General features: G+C 35.4%; 1 protein-coding gene across 7 annotated transcripts in view; it reads right to left on the reverse strand.

Annotated features, from left to right (window-relative positions):
• AGMO (alkylglycerol monooxygenase) overlaps positions 1-18,304 on the reverse strand; it is a 444,793-nt gene that overhangs the window by 311,485 nt on the left and 115,004 nt on the right. For all 7 annotated transcript variants that reach the window (XR_001744759.1, XM_017012204.2, XM_011515402.4 and 4 more), the window contains exon 4: positions 2,298-2,401. Coding sequence is in view for 6 of the 7 variants with exons in the window: in XM_017012204.2 (XP_016867693.1) it covers positions 2,298-2,401 (104 nt within the window). In the remaining variant the exon portion in view is untranslated. The remainder of the gene's footprint in view (positions 1-2,297; positions 2,402-18,304) is intronic.

Here is an 18,304-nt window from a genome sequence, read left to right on the forward strand (position 1 = left end):
CAATGATGCTCTGATAATTTTTCCCTTTGATAATTCCTCAGGTAATTAATTAACTGCATTGATTTCCCCAGAGCAACTTCAAATGCAGCTACTTCCTTTCTTGGAGGCTTTCTCTCTGAAAATGCAACTACTGGAGATTTCAGTTGTCTTTAATAAAAGAGAAATATATAAGTCAGAAGAGAGTAAAGATTTTGGAGACCAGCCATATATCCAGCCTATATATTCAGCCTTTTGAAAAGGCTGTATTAATGCAGCAATTTTTTAAGAAGGGAGGATGAACAGTACCGATTTCCTCCATCACGTGCCCTGTTTTCCCCCCATTAACTGCTCTGAAGCCTTAATCCAGTCTTGAACTATACAGTTGTAAAATAGGCAGTGATTTTTGTTTGTACTTAATCATCCAGAGTTCCAGCATAAGCTATAGGTTATGAATATATACATATTTCCTTTCCACATATATTGCTTAGAAGTGTTTCTTCAATAGTGCCTTCCCTACCCAAATTCACATGTTGAAATCTGAGCCCTAATACCCACTAAATGTGACCTTATTTGGAAATAGGGTTGTTGTAGAAATAATTAGTTAAGATTATTAACTTAACTAATGGTCATGCTGGAGTATGGCAAGTCCCTAAACCAATATGCCTGGTATCCTCCTAAAAAGGACATGTGGACAAAGAAACAGGAAGAACGCCATGTGAAAATAAGAATTACGTTGTCACAAGCCCAGAAAGAACCAAAAACTAAGAGAGAGAACCAGAAAAGATCCTTTCCTAGTGTCTTTATAGGAGCATTGCCCTGGCAGTACCTTGATTTTGACTTGACTTGTGGCCTCCAGACCAGTGAGATAATAAATTTCTGTTTTTTTAAGCTACACAGTTAGTAGTATCTTCTTATGGCAGCTCTAGAAAAAGAATACAAGCGTCATCACAGGTGTATGGTGTGGGAGTTTGAGGGTGAATTCCTGTTAAGATCCATTCCAGGAAATGTATTAGTAACATCCCTGGCTTATAGATTTGTTTTGCCTATGCTGCTGTTTGGGTTAGCACACATGCCAGTGTATTTTTCTAAGGCTTATAAAACATCTGGTTTCAAGTACTTGGCTTTATCATTTACTAGCTGTGTAATTAACCTCACTGATCTTCAGTTCCCTGAGAATGATAATACTTGATCTAGAGAACCATAGGCTTATTTATGATGATCAGAAAAGATAACATAAGTGAAAAACAATATGGAGGCATGTAGAAGAGCATTTAGAATGCAGAGATTAAGATCAGGGGTCCTGGAACAAGACTGCAGTTCTACTTTTTCCTTTATTAGTGGTGTGACTGAACTATAGACTCAGCTCTACTATTTTAAAATAAGAGCAATAATAATTTCTGTGTATGAAGGCTGTTGTGAAGATGAAGTAAGTCAATATATAAGGAGATTTTAGAAGAGTGGCACATAGTACGTACTTATTAAATGGTATCTAACAAAAGTACCTTGCAAAGTATTTTGAACCACGGAAATGTTTGACCATTATAATTTATAGTTAATAAATAGCTTATTGATTTTACACACCAATATTAAGTATGTATGATTACTGATTTTACGCATCAGTTACTCTGACTTTCTAGCTCACTGTTCAACATACATTTCAGTATCATGTATTTTCATAACCAAGAAGAGCTAAGCAAGGAAGATGACAAAAAAAGGGATATTATCAAGTAGATCAGGATTTCCCCATGAGTCAAAAGAACTCTACAAGTAGAGGCTATTTCTGGTATTCATTAATCTTGTAATTTCCTTGTGTGAGAATATTTTAGAGCCAAAAATTTTTGGATCATGATATTGATCTATTATGATAACAAAAAGCAAAGCATTCAACTAGATTTTAGAGAATTAGTTGTTTTTTTTAAAAAAAAAAAACAACTGGTTTTTTTTAAAAAAAAAAAAAAAACTGGTAAAAGTTTTTACTGAAATCCTTGTTACATATATTTAAATGGAGATACCTTATCTATACATCACCCTCCTGGGTTACAGTAAATTAAAAAATAGCCATTCACTTTCTCACATTGTCGTATACTTTGAGTTTCTGGGTCAAATAAAATGCTTCTATTGAAAAACAGCATTTGCTTCATGTGTGTCTGGCCTTACAGAAGGAAAAGAAAGATTTTAGCATCTGGCTTTAGAAAGAAGAGAGAAGCATTTTAGTAAAACACCTTCTATTAGTTTTTTTTTTTTTTTGAGGAAATAGAAATAGCTGAGACTTAAAAACAAATTAGATTACCATGTTTATTCCATTTCATACAACTTACCCAGGAAGTATATATCTGGAGGACAGACTGTCTCAGTGCTGTGGATAAGTTATAGTCTTCAGAACTATGATGTGTTTGGTGTCCGGCCCACATAATATTAACTTCTGCAAAACACATAATTTGCAATGAGCCATGAGAATAAGAACAAAGCAACTTCCATTTTCAGTTATGCATGCTGCTCTGTTGAGTGAGGAAGAAAAATCTGGAACATCTCTGTAAAAGCTGGCCAATATAATTATAATTAAAATATGCTGCCTGAAATAATTTTTGGAACCAAAGACTGTATACATTGTAAATAAATAAAAATGAAAGCATAGCCAATAAATATGTATAGTTTATATGTTATAATTAAATGCCTCCAACAAACTGACATTAATTCCAAAAGTTATACTTTGCTAACATATTATAATATGACAGATTATAAAAGCTAGCTGGTAATGTTGTGACAATACATTCAACGGATAGTGATGATTTTTCAGCGTGTGATAACATGTTTCTAACTAAAGAAAAATTGTCTGATGGGAGAAATTGGTATGGAAATTTTGGAATAAAATATTAATGAAATTATTTCCTCATGGCTTTCTGAGAAGTCTCAAAATCTGTTGGAATAAGAAGAAAGCATAGCATAGTAATATTTTGCACTAAGTTCTCAGGTACTCTTTTATTTATAAAAAGATATTAGCTAACAGTTACCTATGGTTTTCCCATACCTTACCAAAATACTAAACCATTTCTAAATTTTTCCACATAGTTTTATCTGTGTTCATAAAAAAGGAAAATGATTGTTGTTTATTTTCATCAAGCACTATACAGATTGCTCTCATACTGTCTTGGAATTCATACAGACTCCAAAGAAGTGTGGTTTTTAAAAAAATTTTTACAACAAATATGACACTGCATTGATCCCCTAAGTAGTTGACACAGAATAGCCCAAGTCATTTTTTATTCTGCCCATATTTTAAAAATTGTATTGCCATTTTTCATTTCCTAACAAAATTATAGATCGAAATGTCACATTATACTCTATTCAGTTTAAAAAAATCTGTTCTTAGCTAAAGTAACTTATGTTTAGTCTTTTGCTACAAATCCAGGAAATGGAATTAGCTATGTGACATGATCATCATATCCTTGCCAGTATAGGTTAGAAATTAAATCTTTTAGGCTTGGATGTATAGGAACTAAACAGTGAAGCTAGAACTGGAAATATCAGGTTAATTTTCTTTGCAGTTGCCATATACTGACTGTTAAAATGCATGGTACATAGTAGAATAATTTTAGAAGTTTTTATGAAAATCATGGTCATATATATGTGTGTGTATATATGTATATATATATATATATACATACATATATATATACACACACATATATATATACACTATCTGGGTAAATTTTGGCCATTGCTTTCAAAATGAAAGTTCTCTGAACAGTCTGTATAGAGAATTACCAAACAAAATTGTTAAAGAAAAAAGGTCTTGGTAAACAAATGATAGCTCATAGATATAAGAAGGACTTAATTCTGTATAATAAGGAATATTATAAACAGAACTGTGGTTAGTCTTATTATGAACAGATAACAAATGCCATTTTTATTAAAGTCATATATTTTTCAATGGAACACGTATTGTCATCAACCACAGCAGATATGTAACTTAGATCCCAATTGGTTGGTGATTTAATTATTTTAATCATTTGTAGGAAAGACATTGTATTTCTATGCTAGCAATTAAGGAAATTGTTCTTACACAAAAGAGAACTACTTCACCATAATGACCTCTAAAAATATGCAGTCATAATCTTTGAAATAACACAGAACCAAATTATCTGGTTTATTGATAAGCCTAATGGCTGTACATAAGAAATATAAAAAGACCCTTGTGGCACTTTATATCTTCAGATGTTAGGTGGACGTTGAATAAGAGGTAATAAATTTGATGAATCCCCTAAAGTTTAAAAACCGCTTACAGATAGAGATCCTGAAGTAATCTAAACACCATTTTCTCTTTAGAACATACCCACTGCTGAACATTTTATAACTTATGATTTTATAACTTATGACTTATAAACCTTCATTGAAAATCAATACATTGTCTAGTTTTTGACCTGTCAGGATTTGTTTTTAAAAAATTCATTCTAATGCATCCACAAAATGAGTTAACAAGAGGATGAGCTAATCAGATGAGGTTCCATTAGAGAGTCATAATATATATTGGGAGCCACTTCCTTATACCCTCTACAGAAGCTAAACGGTGAAACAAAGAATCCACAAAGGTGGAGGTTAAAGATCTGTCTTTCTAGTTGTTTCAAAAGCATTTACTTCCTATCACAAACTGTGTGTAACACAAGCCTCATTCAATGAGGTACAGCTGTGCAAACAGGGCACAGTAACAGCATCCTACTGCCTCACCTCTGTCACTTTTCAGAATTGGTAAAAAAAAAAGAAGGAATACTGAATTTGTTTCACAGTCTATATTCAGCTTATTGGAGGTAAATTATTTTCAAAAGTGATTATGAAAATGCATTTTATGGAAAGTTATTCCAGTAGTTCTTTTGTGAACAAAATGAGAAAAACTTAATGCATTTATATGATCATCTTCCCTAATACTTGAATTGATGAATTATCTGTTTTAAGAAATGAAAACAAATATTAAGAAGGAGAAAAAGATATTATTTAGAATAAGCTTCTCTCTGTGAAAGACTTCATATAATTATACATTCTGTTCAATAACATTTTTCTTTTTCTATACGAAAATTATAGATTATATTAATATATGTATATGTTATTATAATTTTTCCATGATATAATTAGAAATGATTATGCTGCTTTCTAGTGCCAAATGTAATTCTGTATATTTTATTAATATATTGGCCAACACTTCCATTCATTTGGCCAACATTTTATGTAATGTGTGTGTGGTCTGTGTTGTATTTTTGAATTTCTTTTTCAATTTTTTTATGAAGATGTAACTTACATACAACAAAATCCATCTTCTTTTAATGTTCGGCTGTATGAGTTTTTACCAAATGCAGCTGTTTAATGATTACTGCACTCTAGATACAGAACAATTTTATTACCCCAAAGAGTTCCCCCACCTCCTTTTTGTGGTTGTGGTAGTCAGACTTCAAGATGGCTCCCTGCTTCAGATAATTCAAGTTCTGGACTTTGAACTGATAATGCAGTGGGATGAAACTTTTGGGAACAGGAAAGAAGTGAGTGTCTTTTGAATGTGGGAGAAATATGAATCACTGAGGTCCAGAGGGCTAACTAGGCAAGGCATCCTCTAGAATGGCCGCCATTGATTCCTATCCAACGGTATTCATGCCTTTTATAATCTCCTACCTTTGAGTGTGAGCCAGATTTAGTGACTTTCTTCTAGTAAACAGAAATTTAGCAAAGATGATGGGATGTCACTTCTGATATTAGATTTAAAGAAGACAGTAGCTTGTGTCTTGGGTGTCCTCTCATACTCAAACACTCTCTAAGAAAAGCTGGCTACCTTGTTATGAGCTCCCTTTGAAGAAATACATATGTCAGGGAAGTGGGATAACCAGCCAGTAAGGAACTAAGCTCCTCAGTCCAAGCCTCATGAAGAACTGAATTCTGCCAACAACCATGTAAGAGAGTTTGGATGCAGATCCTTCTCCATTTGAGCATTCCAATGACACTGCAGTTTGCAAAGAGCTGAACCGACTCGCAGCAACCTCCTGAAAGAACTTGAGCCAGAGACATTCATCTAAACTATGCCCCAATTTCTAACCCACAGAAACTATGAGATGATAAACGTTTCTTGTTTTAAGCTTGTAACTTGTTACAAGCAATAGATAATTAATGCAGTCGTCAAAAATCCCTCACTCCCACCCCCACCCCATTCTCAGTCCCTAGTATCCAATGATTTGTTTTCTTTCCTTTTAGTTTTGCTTTTTTGAGTGTATCCTATCAATAACATCATACAGTATTTTTAGCCTTTTGAGTCTGTTGTCTTTTTTCATTTAGCATAATGCATTGAAGATCCCTTCATTTTGCTGTTTTTATGAGTAGTTTTTTCCTTTTTATCATTAGTATTCCACTTCAATGACTATATCACAGTTTTGTTTTGTTTTTATCTATTCATGAGTTGAAGAACATTTCAGTTGTTTCCAGTTTTTGACAGATAAAAGTTCTATCAAGTAGTTATCATAGAGGTTTTCTGTGGACATGAGTTTTTATTTCACGTGGGTAAATACTTAGGCGTGGGATTATTGAGCTGTATGATATGCCTACATTTACCTTGTTAAGGACCTATCAAATTGTTTTCCAAAGTGGCTGTGCCTTTTTTTTTTTTTATTAGTACCAGCAGTGTGTGAGAGTTCAAGTTGCTCCACATCTCTGGCAGCACCTGACATCATTAATTTTATCTGTATTTATTTGACAGCCATTATAATAGGTATGCAGTGGTATCATGTTGAAATTTTAATTTAGATTGCTGTAATGGCTAATGACAATGGCTCTATGTACCTAATCACCATCTATGTATCTTCTTTTTGAAGTGTCTATTCAAAATTTGTGCCCATATTTTAAATGGGTTGTTTTCTTAAGTTTTGAGACATCTTTGTATCTTCTGCATAAAAGTCCTTTATTAAATATGTGATTTGCATTTATTTTCTTCCAGGCCATAGCCTTTTTTTTAAATAGTGTCATACAAAGAACAAAAGTTTTAATTTTCATGAAATCCAGTTTATATTCTTGATGATTTTATTTAGTTTTCTGGTGTATATAACAAAAAACAAAGGTAATTTTGGAGAAATTTTTCAGAAAAATTAGAAATATCTAAATATCCAGAATGTAACCCTCCTACATATATTAAATATCTAAAATGCACTTTAAAATATGTTCTCTCCTATCTTGTCATCTATGAAATGGAGGGACATGATCCTGTATGTTAATTCAAGACATAAAGACAAGTCTACAAGAAATTTTCACAGACATATAAGATAGCCATTTAATTCCCAATAGTGGGCAGGCCAAGAAGTCTTGGCGCAACCTTGGAATGATGATGTTGGTTTCACTCATAATCTGGAAAACTCCCTAGTTATAAAGGAAGAAATATTATAGGCCTATTTGCAAAATGGTAGTGATGCTTGACACCACTGAAATCATATTGCTAGCACTTTATGCAACATTTAGCATATTGTACGATGACTATAGAACAGAAGAGCTATGCCTTAGTCCATTTTGTTCTGCTGTAACAGAATACCTGAGGCTGTGGAATTTGTAATAAACAGGAATTTATTTTTCACAGTCCCTGTGCAAGTCCAAGATCAAGGCACTGGTAGGTTAGAGTTGTTTCTGTGCTTCGAAGATGGCATCATGAATGCTGATTCCTTCTAAGTGGAAGAACGTTGTATTTTCCCAAGGCAGAAAAGCAGAAGAGAGTGAACCCACTCGCAAAAGCCCTTTTATAGGGGCATTAATCCATTCTTGAGGGTGGAGCTTTCATGACCTAAACACCTCCCATTAGGCCCCACCTCCTAACATTGTTGCATTTGTGATTAAGTTTCTAAAACATGAATTCTGTAGGAGACAAATAGTCAAACAACAGCGAGCTGCATGAGTCTAGAAATTACTTAATCCAAACTTTTAATTTTATAAAGAAAATAAAATTGAAAGTAAGAATGGAAAAAAAAGAGTTTTATTAAAGAAGGAGAACATGTTTCTCATTGTTCTCTTTCTCAACAGTGACTTATTTGATACACTCTTTCCTCTTTTGGATTTTGTTTTAATCCTTCAGAAATGGAGGTGACTGGGTCCAAGTATTCTCTGGGACAATCATGGCACATCTTTGGTAACTTCCATATGTAAAAGGGATTAAAGAGCTCAACACATGCTATTAAATGATAGTGCGAAATTTCTTGAATTGTAGCAACGGTCTTTAACAAGATATCTAAATATAAAATATTAAGTTTTTAAGTTTAGATTGAAAACAATCATCCCTTTGAACTTGGAGGTGCCCATATAAATGAATCCTTTAAATTTTGTTTTGTCTTTTCTTAATATCAAAGCTTAGTTGATAAATAAATATAATAAATAAATTGAGCTAAGTAAATGAAATAAAATTAGTAACAGACTCAAGCTACCAAACTAAAGTCTAACTAAAAAATATAATAGCCCATGAATAACAATAAATATACACTAATTTCTTTCACTATTCTTTATTCATTGAATGAACTAGAAGTGTCATCAATTTTATCATCATAACTCATTCACTTCCTATAGCAGCAAATACAGTTGGTGATGATAAAAATAAATGGCATTACCAATTCATTCAGTAAGTAGAAACTTTTGTCTTATAATTTTTCTATTCTATCCTTGCTCACTTAATATCAGAACACAAATTAAGTATATCTAAAACTACCAAATTAATTAGAATAAAATTTGTAAGTTGGCTGGGCCTCCATATTTTTGTTCCACACATTTTGTATATTTGTATATATCCATATGTTCAGCATGATAGAAACCAGGCTTCTGAAGGAGCAACCAAATTTTTTCCTTTTTTTTTTTTTTTTTTTTTGAGACGGAGTCTGTCTCTGTCGCCCAGGCTCGAGTGCAGTGGTGGGATCTCCCCTCACTGCAAGCTCCGCCTCCAGGGTTCACCCCATTCTCCCGCCTCACCCTCCCAAGTAGCTGGGATTACAGGCGCCCGCCACCACGCCAGGCTAATTTTTTGTTTTTGTATTTTTAGTAGAGACGGGGTTTCACCGTGTTAGCCAGGATGGTCTTGATCTCCTGACCTCGTGATCCGCCCGCCTCGGCCTCACAAAGTGCTGAGATTACAGGCGTGAGCCACTGCGCCCGGATGTTTGGCCACATGTAGACATTAAATAATCTCTCTAGAAGAGTAAGCTCCATGAGTCTTTAGGAGTCACTTTAGGATGGAGCTAAAACTGTGGCAAACACTATACCTTCCCTTTATTCTATCCCATAATCACACTTTAACATATTTTTTCTTTTTTATTCGTGTTCAGATGGAAGCTTTTAAGTTCTAGTATGCAGAATTTAAAAAAGATGTCTCCATTTGTGTGACAATATTCTCAACATTTAAACAAAATAAAACGATAGATTTTTAGTACGAAGTAAAAAGTACCTTAAGAATTTATCATCTTTTCAACCTAAACTTTTGTTTTCATACAATCGAAAAGCAAGAACTAATGTAGGGCTTATTGTCATTTGAATAAAATACTTAAAAATCTAAATTATATTGATAACAATATTATTAGTAATAATAATAAATATTAGTGATTATAAACACATAAGAGTAAGAAAGCTTATCATGTAGGGAATATTTAGAACACTTTACAGGTATTAACTCATACATTTCCCAGAACTGAACTAGAAGGTAGATATTTATATAGTTTCCATTTTATAGATGAAGAAATGGAGATACAATAATATTTAATAACTTACATAAAGTAATGATTATTTTTCATGTTGCATATTAACACTTTTTTATTCATTACAGAGACTATATTTTCTAGCCCCTTACCACCTTGATAGGTTTACGGAACTGTTTCATAATGATGCACTGTGAGTGATAATAACATGTTTTACTTTGAGCCAAGGTAAAGAACTCGTGTGCCTTCTTCACGGTCTCGCTGTTCCTCTGCAACAGCAATCAACATGACGAATATTTAGCAGAGGACACTAAGGCCCTAGGGTACGCAAAGACACCAGATGGAAGGATTCTGGGTCCCTGAATGACAGCATGGAGCAGAGTACCCCCTGACCCATACTGAACCAGGCTGTGAGTGAAAAGTAAATATTCATTGTGCTAATTCACTGGGATTTGCTATTGCTCAGTGAACTAACTACAATACATCCTCACTATTAATTTGTTGTTATTAATACATGTGAATGTGATGCAATAACCACAAATATAGAGTGATTTATCAGTCTATCTTCTTCACTCAGTTTCTTACAGACTGTGTTCTATAGGGAAAGCACTTCCTAGGAAACTAGTAAGCTGGTGCCTATGTTTTTAAAAGTAACCAACTAGCATAGCTCAAAATAACATTTTCTTATCATCAACCTTCCAAAATTACTGCTTCAAAGGGATATCTATAGAAAATCGAGAACATGACCGGGCACAGTGGCTCACACCTGTCATCCCAGCACTTTGGGAGGCCAAGGTGGGCATATCACGAAGTCAAGAGATCAAGACCATCCCGGCCAACATGGTGAAACCCCATCTCTACTAAAAATACAAAAATTAGCAGGGCGTGGTGGTGCACACCTGTAGTCCCAGCTACTAGGGAGGCTGAGGCAGGATAATCGCTTGGACTCAGGAGGCAAAAATTGCAGTGAGCTGAGATTACACCACTGCACTCCAGCCTGGTGACAGAGTGAGATTCTGTCTCAAAAGAAATAATAATAATAAAATCCAGAACATATCCTGCAGCTTTTTCCTCCCTCCCTTCTTTCTGCTACCTTGAATCATTCTTCACTTTGTACTCTGCCCCTTGCCTTTGGGCAGTTGTGTTTAACAAAACATATCAAAGAAAGAAAAACAGGGCTCATATCTTATCAGTAGTGGCTGCAAGTCCCATTTCCATTGTCCTCTTACAGTGCCCACTTATTTTTAACATTGTTTCTGGCCTTACACCCTTGTTCTTTGAGCATCACTGTGCTTTGAAAAGCCCAAGTCTGGCTACTTGTTTTTCCCAAAATGTAGGTTAATTTTATTATTGTGGACCAAAGACCCACCATTATATTAGTTATGTATGATTTTATTTTTCCCTTTACTACCTACAAATACAAAGAGTTGCGTGATATAGTGTGAAACATGCCAGATCAAGGAGGAAGAGCAAGAACTTTTGAACTTTACCAGGAGCTCATGTTAGGAACTGGGATGAGACCCCCCGACCCTGTCTCTTGCTTCCAATCTCTCCCCACACTTTATCTAATCCCTTCCAAACTAGAGCCCTGTCCAAAACCACAAAACACCAAACCAGCTGTATTTTGAAAATAAATGTGTATTTCCCTTAGCCTGACTCAGGCAAGTGAAAGAGAAAGCGAGAGGGGGTTTCTGATCTCACTGCAAAAACAGAGAAAGAGAGATGCTTGTGGGCTTCCCAAGCTCAAGGACTAACAGCAGTCCCCTCTTAAAATATTATTAAATATGGTACTTATGTCCAATAAGTACCAGTGTTTCCATTTCATGATGAGTTATATGTCTTTATACAGGCAGATCTGAGAACACAAGCTCACAAACATGCATTTTGTTGAGAAAAGGTGCTTCAAATTCCCAAAAGCCAGTTTACAACCAAGATTTCTAAATACCACTCAATCATAGGAGAGTATTGCTCATATATATGTTTTGGAAACCAGAAAAGGGAAGAATGAAAGTGAATCTGTGAAGAGAAGGGAGAAATGAGGTTCATTTTCTCAAGAAATTAATGAGACAGAGAAAAGCCACAGTGTAATTTGTATACACACATACATTGTGTGTGTATTGGGCAACTCTGTGTGTATTTATGTATATTTGCTAAGGTAGAAAGAACAGGTATAAAAACACACATAGTTTCATCTTATTTTCCATATTTAGGTGTTACAGATAGGTAGTATGGTGCTCATGGTTTCACCTATAGGCAGATAAGAAAGAAACTGTGTTAGTTACGTGTGAGAGCCGAGAGAGCTCCACTTTATAGTCGTCATTCAAAGCAGAGTGAGCTTTATTACATGTTGCCAACCTCTGTAACACTTGCAACCCAGGAGATGAAGTGATTCCCTACTAACCAATAAAAAATGTGTAATTTTTAACTTTATTGTCCAATCTATTACAAAGTTATATTTAAGGTTAATGGAAAGTAATGTTATGGATAAGACAGTCTGATTTCAAGTTATACTCCTCTTTCTCTTAGCTCCATCATTCCCATTTGTATCCATCACCAGTCATTTGTGTGCTGCTAATGGCCAAGACCCAACAATTACCTAGATCTCTGGATTCGAACTTGGACTTCCTTAGCCCTAGGCCATGGGTCTGGCAATTTGTTAGGGGATCCTAAATAATATTTTTGATGACATGCATAAAGAGCTTTTCCTCCCTCAACAGAATATGTGTTATTTAAAACAAAGCATTCTAAAGTAGTATGAATATTGGAATTTCCAGAAATGTAACAGGCCAGTGAAGAAATATTTTTGGATAAGGGAGTTTACTACACTTCTCAAACATAAGGAAAACCAGTCCTGTACATAGGAAAACTGTCCTTCTCTGCAAAAGTTGTCATGATTAGATAAAAATACTTTGAAATAAAAGTTATCAGTACTACATTATAAAATAATTATGAATTTGACAATTTTTATGTTGCATGAAAATCTTTTATCTACTTAATGAAATCGAATTCTGGTGCACTTTGTTCCTGGTTGTCAGCACTAACATTAACACCGTGAGTTTGGTTTTGGTGCAGTTAAGGATTTTATCATGCTTAAATACATTCAAAAGGAGTTCACATGCTTTACATAGATTGAAAGCAAGAAATCTTCCAAAGTATTTAATGACATATATTTGGCAGCCATAATAACCTGAGTAGCACAATTAGGAGGCAGAAATCATGGGAGAACTGTCTTGATGTCAATAGAGTTAGCTAGGATTGGCAAGCACTCCTACGACGCTCCTCCCCTGCAGCACGTTTGCCTGCGGTAAGACACAATGAACTTCTACCATATTATATTTGGAACAATGCTTTCTATAATTTGTCTCCACAAGCTACGGAATCCATTTTGAAAGGAGACGAACATAAGGAAAGCAAAACAACCAGGAATTCTTAGGAAAAGACAGGAAAATAGAGAAAAAAAGAGCACTGAAATCACTAGGTAGAAAGTAACTGCAATCTCTCTTCATTCCTCCCTAATGAGCCTCCTGAGTGGATGTATATTACCCCTGTCAACAAAATCTTACCAGGATCTCTTTGCTACTAATCAGGACTTCCTATTGGTCTTAACATTTGTCTTGGTGTCCTGAAACCAACTTTAGAACGTCATAGCAAATGAGTGTGGCTTTCAGAATAGAAACTTTCAGTGTTACTGAATTTGCAAGGAATAAGGCTGTGTGTCCCCTGAAAGTGCCAGATTGAATCAGAACTGAATGTCCTCATCAAAACAGATTGGTCTATCCTTTGTGAATGATGTCATGCACATTAGCATTGTTAGTGGTCTTTGAAGAAGCAATCTGCCCCTGTGATAGATTTCTGTCTGTGCATTTAGAAACTCTATTATTACCAATTATAGATGTTGTTATTTTGATGACTTAGTTTGTTCTTTCTTCTATGCCTTTCATGGTACTCCTCAAATCTGAATGTATGTCTGGTTTTAAAGGTGGCATACTAATGACTATCAGGTCTTGCTACAACAGGAGGAAGAGGTCTTATGTAATATTCTTTGACTTTTTGGCATTGAGAGATGGAAGGTTTTATGTAGGAACATTTCCCCCATTATTCTAGTACAGATAACCTCATGTCATACCCTTATATTCCCCAACCTTGACCCTTGAATGACATTACATCCAAACCCAAATCTATTTACTAACTGAATTGATTCCCTTCTGCCCATGCTTGCTCTTTTTGTTTTTTGATCTTATAGTGATACAGGAGGAGGGCAGGGAAGTGCTGGGAGGGAAAGGCGTGGTCCCTGGTGAGGGCTCCACCCCCGGGGCCTCTACCCACAGACCTAGGTGAGGACAGGCACTCCTGCCTTCATGCCCAAATGTTGCATTTCCCAAGACCACCCTGGCCTGCCACACCCCCATCCTGTGCCTAAAAAAACCTGAGAACCTAGCAGGCAGAGACACAAGCAGCTGGACATCGAGAGGAACACACAAGTGGAAGAAGACACAAGCGGCTGGACGTCAAGAGGAAGGCACTGATGTAAGAGCACACCAACAGATGCTAGCAGGCAGCAGGCCATCAACAAGCAGAATGATGTGGAGTTTGGCTAGGGAGGTCAGAGGATGGCCTGGGCCACTGAGTGGCCCCATTCCAGGGAAAACCAACTTCCCACTCCATCTCCCCTCTGGCTTCGCCATCTGCTGAGAGCTACTTCCACTCAATAAAACCTTGCACTCATTGTCCAAGTCCACGTGTGTTCCAATTCTTCTGGTACACCAAGGCAGGAAACCCTGGGATACAGAAAACCCTCTGTGCTTATGATGAGGCCGGGGGTCTAAATGAGCTGATAAACACAAGCTACTTACAGACGGCAAAACTAAAAGGGCACATGGTAACACATGCCCACTGCGGCCTCAGAAGCTGTAAACATTCACCCCTAGATGCTGTCGTGGGGTTGGAGCCCCACAGCCTGCCCATCTTCATGTTCCCCCTAGAGCTTTGAGCAGCAGGGCACCAAAGAAGCAAGCCACGCCCATCTCATGCCCTGTAAGGGGCCAAGGGAACTTTTCTTGTTTCAATACTTTGACTATTATACCTTTAATCATTCCCCTCCTAACACCCACCAAGATTTCATTATTGTTTTTCATCAATCCACTGCATTGTCAGCATCCTTCCTTTGCTGTTCTATAACTACTTCCCTAGATTGATGCCTTATTACCTCAACACCATTAACAGGTATTCAGTGAGCCATATCTGTATATGAGCTGTGCTGTCCATGTGCACTCAAAATCTAGTGCAGGCATCAGCAAACTGTCACCATAAAACAAACCCTGCCTACCACCTGATTTGTACATCCAGAGAGCTAAGAATGATTTTTACATTTTCAAATACCTGAACTAAAATCAGAAGAGTAATAGTTTATGACACATAAACATTATATTGAAAAAAATCTGTATCTTCCTCCTTCTCATGTACTGTTCTCTGAGCTTTTTGAACACTCTCAGCATTTTCATGGTCCCCTCTCCTTGTGCCATCTGTCAAAGTATTCTTCGTCTTTCAAGAACTATTGCATATGTCATTTTCTTCAAGAAACTATCTTTAGCCCTCCTCAGCCAAAAGTATTATGCAATGCTTATTATCCCTAGGTAGACCTAAGGACAGTATTAACATTACTAATACTCTACTATTTTGTATCCACCACTATTTCATAAGCTTCTTAATGAGAGGGAACTTATTCATCTTCGTATTTTCCACAGCATCTACCGTTGTTTTTTATATAGTATCGAATATATTTTTTTAATTAAACATATGCTAATCAGGTAAAATTGGTTCATATCCATGATCAATAACCAAGTCACACTATTTTATTTGCTAAATACATGTATTTTTGTTAGCAAAATTAATCCTTTTTGTAATATTCCTTTCCCTTTACACTGATTCCCTCTCCCTAATTTCAGTTATATCCAAACATTCCACTTTGGAAATGTTTGCTTGACCCTCCCATTCCCTAATTTGTTTTTATCTCCAGCATGAGAAAAGAATGAACTATTTACTCCCTTACCTCCCATTCTTTCTTAAGCTCATTGTTAAAGTCACTTGAATCTTTCCAAAGCAATTATTGGCCTTCTTGCCAAAACCAAAGGCCTCCGTTTAGATGCCGTTGTATTTGAACTTTCTAAAACATTTGATCACTTCTTCTGTTTTGAAAAATCTTTTCCTTTGGCTTGAGTAACATTCTTTGCTCCTGATTCTCCTCCATCTCTGCTCCAACTGGGTGCATTTCCTTGATTTCCTCCCTTGTTCTCATCTAACTTTAAAAGATCAACTCTTGTTTTTCTCAACTCCTCACTCTGCTGGTTTTTCATGGTTGTCCTATCACCTACAATGACTTCAATAGGCACATATCCAAAAGTTGATGGCTCCCAAGTATGTATCTGCAGCTCTCTGTTGAACTCTAGACCTGATTTCCTTTTGGAAATTATATGCATATTATTCTCTGAATCTATCTCATTGCCTTCCTGCTTTTCCCCTGTTTTACTTTCTTGCTTAATGGCATTATCATCATCTTGATCACCCAGGCCAGGGAGCTGACATCTAGGGAGGACTTCAAAGATGGAACTCAATCTCAGAGCTTTATTGTATCTTTCTGATTTCTCTTTATGTATTTGTGAAGTTCTTAGCACATAATCAGGCAAAAGCCAATATTTTTTAATAATTTTTTAAAATACTGAACATTAGCTTGTGATAGTGTCTTTTAAAACACTGTAGCGAACATGTCTAAAACTTGTTTCTTACTAACAAACAATTGTATATTTAAGAAAACTATGAAGAGAAATGTGAAAAGGCAAAGGTAACAAGGAATAACATCAGTATTGGTGTAGGTCAATAATAATGTGTAAGATATTCTTCTATCAAAGATTTAATATTTTAAAAGAAAAGTTCATGAAGAACATTCAAAACTATATTGGACACATTAAACTTCTATAATGATGAGATAGCTCTCAAAGGATATTTTCTTCTATTTCAACAAAGTATATTCAATATTATCACATGATATATTGCTGTTCCTTTGGTCCTGGGGTTAGAATATCAAACTTGGAGCCCATCCCCCTATATGCTATTTATAGATTTCTTAACCATTTACAGGATGCCACTACCAGAGCTACCTCATTTGCTCATAATTAAGCTTATCCCATGATAAAATTAATCCTTAATTGAAGATATTTAATAGATCATTTTTGATACACTTTTGAGATTGGGAAAATATGAATGTGATATATTACTCTTATTAGTCATAGTTTCTCTTCAGAAACATCAAACATAAAAAAACAAAGAATATGACTACACCAAATGTCCCAGACATTTTTAAGTTCCCAAATAGAGAAGAAAGAAATGGTTAAGACATGTAGGGATGTTCATATGGTTCTGTTGCTGTGTAATCCTCACCTGTTCTTAAAATCTAAAGGAAGTCAATCATGGCTTCCATGAACCTCTTCCCTGCCTCTCTTCTGCCACTCCAAAGATGTGTGGTCCTACTGTAAACTGGACTTAATCCTATTCCATCAAATACAAGAAAAAAAATCGTAATTGAAAAAATAACAATTTCCTTGGAGTACCATTTTGTATTTAAATATCATTTTGAAAACAAGTTGTTGAAAACATCTTATAATATCATTAGTGTCAGGAAGTGTTATTTTCAAAACTATCGTACATGTGATGAAGATCCATTAAATTGCAAAATATTTAAAAGATCATGAAGCAAAATATTGTCAAAGCCTAAGGCCCATGTAGAACAGTCAAATAACAGCGAGTAATGGATAGCTTGCCTTGATCTCTGAGCTTTGCAGTGCAATGTGAATTTGGGCAGCCACAAATCTATTCATAGATAACAAGACAAATTAATATAAATTAAAACAATGATTTAAGTACATTTCTCCTAGTAATTCTCTCTTTCCCTGTGATCAGCTTGTATGAAACATTGCCCATCATAAATAGATGCAATTATATAAGTCAACTTAAAAATATCAATAAATGACCAAAAAAAACCCCAGCTCTCCTGGTATTGCAGAGTTGCATAATATGATTTCCTACAATGATGTCACATTTGACGCTGCACACCATGTGAAGAAGATTAACTGTACCCAAATTGCATTCTTCTGTAAGGCCAGCTGATATGCACATGTAAAACATGAAACACACACATACTTTGAGATGAAATTAAATGATTCTCAAATGCTATGCCATACATAATTCAAACCTCATAAATATCCACCTTATAAAGAATAGATTGCATTTAGTTGTTTTTCTAAACAACCAACATGGCAATTTAAGTAATTTCAGTGCATATTTATCCTTGAGATACTTATTAGAAAACTGCTCTGGTAGCATTTTTGGCAGTTAGATAATGCCTCGTTTGTTCTTTGTAAAGAGTTTTTATTTTCATGTGTTCTTTCTGGGCTGTCTTTAAGGAAAGATTGATGTCTGGTGTCACTGCTAGGAAGTGCAAACTGTTCAGGTTCACTGCAATCTATGTCCTCATTCTCTTGCTCTGCAGGATATCACCTACTTTGTCAGCCAATATCCAGAAGGGAAGTTCTTTAATGGCAATAAGTGATCCCAATGACATCTTCCCCACAATGCTCAAAGCTCTT

Source organism: Homo sapiens, chromosome 7, assembly GCF_000001405.40.
Source record: "Homo sapiens chromosome 7, GRCh38.p14 Primary Assembly".
In the NCBI taxonomy this organism is placed as follows: Eukaryota; Metazoa; Chordata; class Mammalia; order Primates; family Hominidae; genus Homo; species Homo sapiens.